This window comes from Homo sapiens, chromosome 7 (genome assembly GCF_000001405.40).
Source record: "Homo sapiens chromosome 7, GRCh38.p14 Primary Assembly".
Classification (NCBI taxonomy): domain Eukaryota; kingdom Metazoa; phylum Chordata; class Mammalia; order Primates; family Hominidae; genus Homo; species Homo sapiens.
The window spans coordinates 23,204,660-23,213,661 of NC_000007.14; the positions used below are offsets into that span (position 1 = coordinate 23,204,660).

General features: G+C 45.2%; 2 annotated features.

Moving 5' to 3' along the window:
• Positions 1,305-1,584: a silencer, noted in NCBI's record as "silent region_18006". NCBI's record gives its function as "represses an Ori minimal core promoter by ATAC-STARR-seq in GM12878 lymphoblastoid cells {active_cell/tissue: GM12878}" and the evidence as "EXISTENCE:reporter gene assay evidence [ECO:0000049][PMID:35858748]".
• Positions 1,775-1,834: an enhancer, noted in NCBI's record as "active region_25721". NCBI's record gives its function as "activates an Ori minimal core promoter by ATAC-STARR-seq in GM12878 lymphoblastoid cells {active_cell/tissue: GM12878}" and the evidence as "EXISTENCE:reporter gene assay evidence [ECO:0000049][PMID:35858748]".

The window sequence follows — 9,002 nt, forward strand, 5'->3', positions numbered from 1 at the left end:
TGTAATAATCCCCATGTGTCAAGGGCAGGACCACGTGGAGACAATTGAATCATGGAGCTGGTTTCCCTCATTCTGTTCCCACGATAGTGAGTTCTCATGAGATCTGATGGTTTAGGGGCTTCCCCCTTTCCTGGGCTCTTATTCTCTCTGCTGCCGCCATGTGAAGAAGGATGTGTTTGCGTCTCCTTCTGCCATGATTGTTAAGTTTTCTGAGGCCTCCCCAGCCATGCAAAACTGTGAGTCAATTAAACCTCTTTTCTTTATAAATCACCCAGTCTTTATTAGCAGTGTGAGAATGGACTAATACAAGCACCAAATTCAGAACAGTGTTTACCTAGGGAAAGAAAAAAAGAAATGGGATCTGAAAGGCACAGACAGGGAGCTTTATATGTGACTTAAAAAAAAAAAAAAGCTTAATATGAGAAGCATAAAATTTGACAGAGCTGGGCATGATGGCACAAACCTGTAGTCCCAGCTACTTGGGAGGCTGAGGCAGGAGGATCATTTTGGCCCAGGAGGTCAAGGCTGCAGTGAGCCATGATCACACCACTGCACTCCAGCCTGCATGACAGAGTGAGTCGCTGTCTCAAAAAAAAATTTTTTTTTAATTGACACTGGGTGATGAGTAGTACATAGTAATACGCTGTTGTTTTCTATACTTTCCCACATGCTTGAAATAAGTCTGCAAACTTTTAAATATTTGATTTAGGGGGAAAATGCCTTTTTCCCCACCCTAAATTGTGTATTATCAAGTCACTTTCAGATTTCTGCAGTGATCACTGTGAATCCACTGGTTTGCCAAATGGTGTCCAAGCCTGTTGGATTAAATATGTCATGCTGATGAGGCTTGTCATTCAAACACTGAAGCACAGGAGTAAAACTAGAGAACTGACTGTAGAGGTGGAAAATGTAATTTTTGCTATCAGACTAACGAAATATAAAAGGTACACATTTGTGGAACAAAATAAAAATCTTTGATTCACTAGTTGTGTGTTTGTTTCTCTAATTACACTGGACGAGGAAAATAATCTAGAATCAACATATTAAGTAGTTACCTTGAGGCTCTTTTCTCAACCACACATCATCAACCACCTGGAAATCTGTTCCTTTTTCCTGGTTATTTACAATGCAAGCAGCTTTTAGCCCTGGCAGCACAGAAGCAGAAGAATTGAGGAATTCTCTGCCACTCCTGTAGTATCCTTTAACAGGTTAAGTGGTTGTCAAGCTTCTTTTTTAAATTTGTAAACCTATTTGAATCAATTTGTGACTCCTGCATTCCGGCCCGGCAGAAAGAGCTCGAAGAGACGCAGAGCGCGGCGCGCTCCCCCACGGCCCTCCAGGCCGGCGGGTGAGATGGGGAGATGAGCTAGGGGGCCCCGGACTGGCTGCGCCCTCTGCCCTGCAGACACGGGGGGCCCCGCTGTGGCTGCCCACTGGCCGGGCGCAGGCCTCGAAGCCGCGGCGAACCTCTCTTCCCCACCCCACCTCGGTGACTGTTGGCGGCGGCTCTCCCTGCCCAGACCCCGCCGCCGGATCCTGCCCGGCCTCGACGAAACCCCGCCGAGCCGCCGAGACGCAGTGTCTCCGGGTGGCGGCGGGAGAGGCGGGCCGGGAAGCATGGCGGCCGCCCCAACACCGCGCGGCGGAGACCGTTAGGGTGTGCAGGGCCCGGGAAGGCGGTCTCGCGACGCAGGCAAGCTCGGCCGCCTCTTTAGGCCACGGAGCCGCGCGAGTCCGGGCCCGGGTGACCGCTCTGTTCCCACTGGACGAGACCTGCCGAGTCCTCAGGACAACGGACAAAGGCCTTAACGGGCTTGGGAGGTGAGCGAAGTCCCGAACGATGACGGGTGGAACAGTTAGCGGCCTTCGGGCGGTTGGTCTCGTTCTACCAGAGCTTGCTGTCGGAAGAGAGAAATGGTGGAATGACAAGCCACGTCTGGCCTCTTGGAAATGCCCACCACCCTTTGGGAAGATTTACTGGCCGTTTATGGAAGGCCTGTGTATTTAATATGAAACAGCTGCTCTCAACACTACCCAAACCTTTTAATAGAAAACATTTGCCACATCTAGCCCTTCTATGAGCTAGATGGAAAGAGGTTGCTGATGTATGATAAAGTTAGAAAATCACACATCTTGTAAATTCTCATTTGCTTAAAAGAAATCATAGAAAATAAATGTCTTCTGGAGACGACTTTTGGAAATGGAGTTGTTAACACGGCCTCTGGAAGCGAGACGTCCACGTTTGTTAAGTGGTTTAGAGGACATGGAGCTGGAAGACCTGAGAAGGAAGAGAAGAAGCTTCTGTGCCAGACTGGTCATATTTAGAAGACATTTTCATATTCTCTCCATTGTTTTGTGTGCATTTCATTCCTCACTACTGTGTATATGGTTGACAATGCTAAGCTTTTTTGAAATGTCTATTCTTTTTAGATATTCTGAAGTGCCTGATATATGTAGAAAAAAATAACCTTTTGTAAATATCTTTTTGTTACAATTCATATGAAATGTTTGGTGGGGGAATGGCCCAATCACCTGTTGAGTAATACTCATTGTGTTTGTGCACTGGTTCAGGGGAGGAGGGGGAAGTGCAGAGATCTCTATGCCACTGTGCTTACAGCGAGGCAAGATTAATCATTATCTCTGCGCATTTTGTTTTACTTGTCTGTGTATATAGTGTACATAAAGGACAGACAAGTCCTGATTTACAACATCTAGTCTTTCTAGATATTAAAGAGGTTGCCAGTACATGATAAAAGTAGAGTTAGTAAACTAATATATTTTGTACATTTTGTTTTAGAAGTCCTAGGAAAGATTGTCTTCTGAAAATTTGAGCATTCTTGCCCGCTGGGTTGATGGAGATGGGAAGGGTTCTAGGCCAGAATGTTCCTATTTGGAAGACTCTTTCAAATTATAACTGTTGTCACATGTTTGCAGTTTATTCAAGACTGCTGTGTTCGTAGTGGACAAATGAACTCCTTACTTGAAACATCTAGTCTATCTAGATGTTTAGAAGTGCCCAATGTATGTTAAATGTAGAGGTAGTAAAATACCACTTCGTAAATATCTTTTTGCTAAAATTCATGGGGAATGCTGTCTTTTGGAAATTGAATTGTGAAGCCACCTTTGTGAGCAGTATAGTACTGTCTATACTTGTTCAGTGGTTTAGAGGAGATGGGAGGGAAGACATTGCAAAAGATAATATGCCAGTGTGTTCATACTTGGACATTTTCAGACACCATTTTTTGCATGTTTTGTGCATGTTGTTTTGCTCTGTATATAGTGTATAAAACGGACAAATGAGTCCTAATTTTGCAACATCTAGTGTCTAGATGTTAAAGAGGTTGCCAGTGTATGACAAAGTATTTAGTACAATTAGCATATTTTGTAAAAAAAAATTTGTGACTCTTTATGACTCATACCTCTCCTCCACAAAAAAAAAAAGAAGACATTACTTGAATTATCTATTATTTCAGAAGTTTCTCAACTCAGAGACATTTACATAATTCGGTGGATTCAGCATATAGTCCGGTATAAGGAAAAGGTTGCTTGATTGGTTAGATTGTTATTCCTCAATATTAAGGACCCATCAAATGCTACACTTAAGGATTCAGTCCTAACACCTACCCTGTAGGTTTGGAATCAGGCTCTGAAGGATCACGGGAAGTTCCAGGCAAATGATCAACGCTCAAGCAAAAGAGGGAGAGGAAAAGAATAGAAACATTGCATACAAATCCAAATGGTGACAGGTGCAAAGACCAAGAAAGGAGTGCATTAAAATGCTAGAGAGTAGAGTGAATGCAGTCACTAGGGGCTACAGCCTGTGATAACTTCCCAGAGGAAATGGATTTGAGTAGTTTTGAGAGGGAAGTGAAATCATAACGGGAAGGAGAAATAGCCAAAATAGAAGTCACCTTCTCATAGAGACAAAATGAGCCTGTGGAGATTACATTAACCTTAGATAGCGTTTGAAAATATTCTTTAAAGAATATTTACTACCTTGCTGAAATTAGGTTAACTTTTCTAAGTATCACCTGTAGAATATGTAATACCCACCATCTGGTGATTTTGTGAATAGTAAATGAAAAAATGAACTCTAAATGCTTAGCAGAGAAATTATGCTCAATTCTATCATTGAGAAAAATAATGCTTATTCACTATAGAGGATTCCAGTCACATAGAAATACATAAAATGGGTCAGGTGTGGTGGCTCATGCCTGTAAGCCCAGCCCTTTGGGACACCGAGGTGGGAGGATCGCCTTAGTTTAGGAGTTCAAGACCAGCCTCGGCGACATGGTGAAACTCCATCTCTACAAGAAATACAAAAAATCAGCCGAGAATGGTGGTGTGTGCCTGTAGTCCCAGCTATTTGAGAGGTTAAGGTGGGAGGATCGCCCGAACCAAGAAGCCAGCAGTTGCAGTAAGCCAAGATCATACCACTGCACTCCAGCCTGGGTGGCAGAGTGAGACTCCCGTCTTTTTAAAAATAATAATAATACAAAATTAAAATGATATTCTACCTTCCCAATAACAGTCTTTAATGTTTTGCACACATTTCTCCAATGTTTATACAGTCTCATAATTATCAATGTTATACTATTTGCATCTTCTCAAAGAACTTTCTCTGTCAGCACAAATAGATTAATGTGCCTGTTTGTTTGTTTGAGACTCACACTGTCACCAGGCTGGAGTGCAGTGGCACGATCTCAGCTCACTGCAACCTCCGCCTCCAAGTTCAAGCTCTTCTGCCTCAGCCTCCCGAGTAGCTGGGACTACAGGCACAAGCCATCATGACCAGCTAATTTTTGTATTCTTAGTAGAGACGGGGTTTCACCATGTTGGCCAGGATGGTCTTGATCTCTTGACCTCGTGATCCACCCACCTCGGCTTCCCAAAGTGCTGGAATTACAGGCATGAGCCACCGTGCCTAGCTAACACGCCTGTTTTTAAAGGCCGTGTAGTATTCCATTATATTTCCATTGTTTAATTGATTTAACCATGCCCCTAGTTCTGAGCCAATAATGCTTCAATAGAACTTTCTAGAAAATATATCTTTGCACAATGCAGGAATGTTTCGTAAGTGAAAATGTTGAGTTGGAAAGTATGAACAATTTTAATTGTAATATATTTGTTAAATTGCTCCCTGCCCCCATCCTCTCCACAGTGTACATTCTGAAAACAGAAAAAGCCTCTCACATTTCAAAGGGGAGCAAGTAATGAGTTTGCTGTAATTGAATACATACAGCAATAAGAGCCATGGGGATGGGGGGTTTGATCAGCAATGTTTTCATAAGTCCCTTGCAGGGAGCCCCCTGGACCAGCATTGCATGGACATTGCTTTGGGTCTTCTGGGCTTTTTTTTCCCCCATCAAAACCAGAGAAAATGTCCAGGCACATGGCCCATACCTGTAATCCCAGCACTTTGGGAGGCCAAGGCAGGTGGATCAAATGAGGTCAGGAGTTCGAGACCAGCCTGGCCAACATGGCGAAACCCCATCTCCACTAAAAATACAAAAATTAGGCAGGCATGGTGGTGGGCTCCTGCAATCTCAGCTACTTGGGAGGCTGAGGCAGGAGAATTGCTTGAACCCAGGAGGCAGAGGTTGCAGTGAGCCGAGATTGCACCACTGCACTCCAGCCTGGGTAACAGAGCGAGACTCCATCTAACAAACAAACAACAACAACAACAACAAAGATTTGGAGGGAAAGGACTTTCAGCTGCTCTGAAGATGCATCAGGCATTGATCGGCTCTGCAGACTAGTTTTTACAATATCTAATGGTACCGAATGTATGAGCCTGTCATTCACCCCAGAGATGAATCTCGACAAAACAAAAGGAAAAAAAATTTTTACTTCTAGAAAGTAACACCTTACACAGCTCACTGGTCCCCAGAGAAGTGGACAGAGGTGACTCTAATACAACTCCAGCTTTCTAACTAGCCAAGCAGCTTCTAAAAAGCCAAACCTGAGACCAAAATGGGTATAAGCTGCAACAGGGAGAGGAAAACTCAAATAGGGGAAGAGAGAACCATCCCCACATGATTTCGCCACCTCCTGGCCTTGCATATTTCTTTAGCCAAGATTGCACGGCCCATGGCTATAATCATTCTTTTGAAAATGTGTTAACTTCAACTCCTCTGTCTCCTCTTCCTCCAAGCACTTGGCTGGCCAACCTGTGCTCCTGGGAGGCTGTCTCCTCTGCCCAGCCCACCTGTGGGGTGGAGGGCTGCAGAGGAAAGTGCCCTGTGAGGTTGCTGCCTGCCACCTCAGTGACCCTGGGCTGCAGTCCACGTGGCACCTCCAGTGGGCTCAGCACCTGTTCCCACAGCAGCAAGTCCATACCTTCACCACTGTCTTCTCATCTGTCCTCTCTCTGAGGAATAGCCCACCTCCTGCTTCACAGAGAAAACAGAAGGCATCACAGAGGACACTGGTCACTGTCACCTGCACTCCAAGGCCAGCCCTCCACACATGCTGGGTGGCACTCACAATCAACACCCTCTTCTCCTGCATTCCCTGGTCTCCCTCTTCACCCAGTCATGGAAGGACACATGACCCAAGCTGGGCCAGAAAGCATCCTCTCTGGGACTTCCTCTATTGTCCCCAGCATTCATTGGTCCCAGCTACTTGGGAGGCTGAGGCAGGAGAATGGCGTGAACCCGAGAGGCAGAGCTTGCAGTGAGCCAAGATCGCGCCACTGCACTCCAGCCTGGGCGACAGAGCGAGACTTCGTCTCAAAATAAATAGAGAGAGAGAGAGAGAGAGAGGGAGGGAGGGAGGGAAAAAGAAAGAAAGAAAGAAAGAAAGAAAAGAAAAGAAAAAGAGAGAGGATAGCTCTCTCTCTTCATAGCCTCTTCTCCCTTCCCATTTGAAATCCCCCTCCCAAGAGGTCATCGCTGTGAAGTCTGGTGGGCATTCATCCCTTTTCCTCGCAGCACGCTCAGACTGCACGGGCAGTCTGCAGTTAACTGTCCATCACCAGTACCCACTCTGCGGGCTCCCAGGTGAGACGCCGGAACTACATTTCCCAGAGTCCCTATCATCCCATGGTTCCGGATTCAAGTTGGCCTGCAAAAGGTTCCTGCTCAATATCTGCAAGAAGGAAGGAGAGATGCCATTCTCCTCTGGAGGCTGCTCCCTCTAGGCATGTGGGAGACATGAGGTTCCAGCGGCCCGCCACAACCTTGTGTGAGGTGGAGCACGGACCCTCCCTTTTTTTAGAGGCCTGTGGACCGTAAGCATGGAAATAAATCTTAAGTTCCTTCAGGGGAAATTCCAGGCGCCTAGCTAGCCCTGAGAAGTAAATAAATAACTTGTTAAACAAGAAGGTGATAGTAGCCTAAAACAACAGCTAAAGAAGTTGGAGTCCCAGAGATGTTTGCTTTCCCTATAGAAATTAAAGATAGTATCTTCACGTATGTCCCTGAGTTGTCTTTCAGAGGCTTGGACCCCCTAACTGAGGACCCCCCAAACTGATCAGGGGCATGGCAGGTAGACCCCAGATAAGGGGGAAATGAAGACTAAACTTTATTGTCCTTTGTTCTAAGTTTTTTCCTGAAGGGCTTGGAGAAAGTCACTCCCCCTAACCAGTTAACTCTACTGGCTTTACATTTTTAAACAAAGTTTCTCTTCCTTAGCCAATTGCAAACCAGAAGATGTTTAAATCTACCTATGACATGTAAGCCCCTAGCTTCAATATATCTCACCCTTTTCGGCCAAAATCAATGTGGAGCCTCCATGTATTGATTTATGATTTGCCTGTAGCTTCTGTTTTCCTGACATTTACCCCTGCCCTTAAAAACCTTACCTGCAAGCCATCAAGGAGTTAGAGACTTAAGCATAAGCTGACGATTTCCCTTGCTTGGCACCCTGCAGTAAATGCCTTCTTTTCTATCACTGCAAAAACCTCAGTGTGAGTATCTGGTTTTACTGCACTGGAGGAGCAGGCCCCAGTTCACTTCTATAACCTGTGTGAACCTCTCACATTGGTCCTTCAGGCTGAGGTCACCAGCAGCAGCTTCCCTGACCTCCACTCTTTCAGCCTTTCCAATAACTCCCTACAGTAAAAGTCTCCTAAATGGAATACACAGAGGCTCTTCTGATATCCTGATCCAACCGTGATACAGAGATCTACCTTGCTCGTTTTAACAGCTGAATAGTATCCCAGTGCCTAACTGTCTTATAATGAATTTAACTTCTCCCTTAATGATGGACACTTGGGTTTTTCTAGCAATTTACTAACACAATTAATGTCAGGATGAACTTTCTTTCTTGCACACACATACACACATACAAGTTCTTTATTTGCCACCCTCAAGCACATGACTGCTGAATTGTGCTTTAAAGAACTTTCCATCACACCACGAACATGTCACATTGTTAGGTTCGTGTGATCACTATGAGGAAGAGGAGGGGGAGGGGACCATGGAGGCCGTAATGTCTAGACTCTTTCTTCCCTGTCTTCAGTTCACCAAATGTAGTTCAACTGTGGACAAAGGGGCTCTTTGAAGCGTCCTCTAAATGTTTAAAATTTTGTTTTTAGAGATAGGATCTTGTTTTGTTGCCCAAGCTGGTCTTGAACTCCTAGCATCAAGCATTCCTCCCATTTCATCCTCCCAAAGTGCTGAGATTACAGGCATGAGCCACCACACCAGGCCTATATTTATTTATTTATTAGTTTTTTGAAATACAGTCTCTGTCACCCAGGCTGGAGTACAGTGGCACAATCTCAGCTCACTGCAACCTCCTTCTCCCAGGTTCAAGCCATTCTCCTGCCTCAACCTCCCGAGTAGCTGGGACTATAGGTGTATGCCACCACGCCCGGCTAATTTTTGTACTCTTAGTAGAGACCGAGTTTTGCCATGTTGGCCAGGCTGGTCCTGAACTCCTGACCTCAAGTGATCTGCCTGCCTTGGCCTCCTAAAGTGCTGACATTACCGGCGTGAGGGATTACCGGTGTGAGCCACCATGCCCTGCCCCTAAATTTATTTTTTAATTGTCAAGTT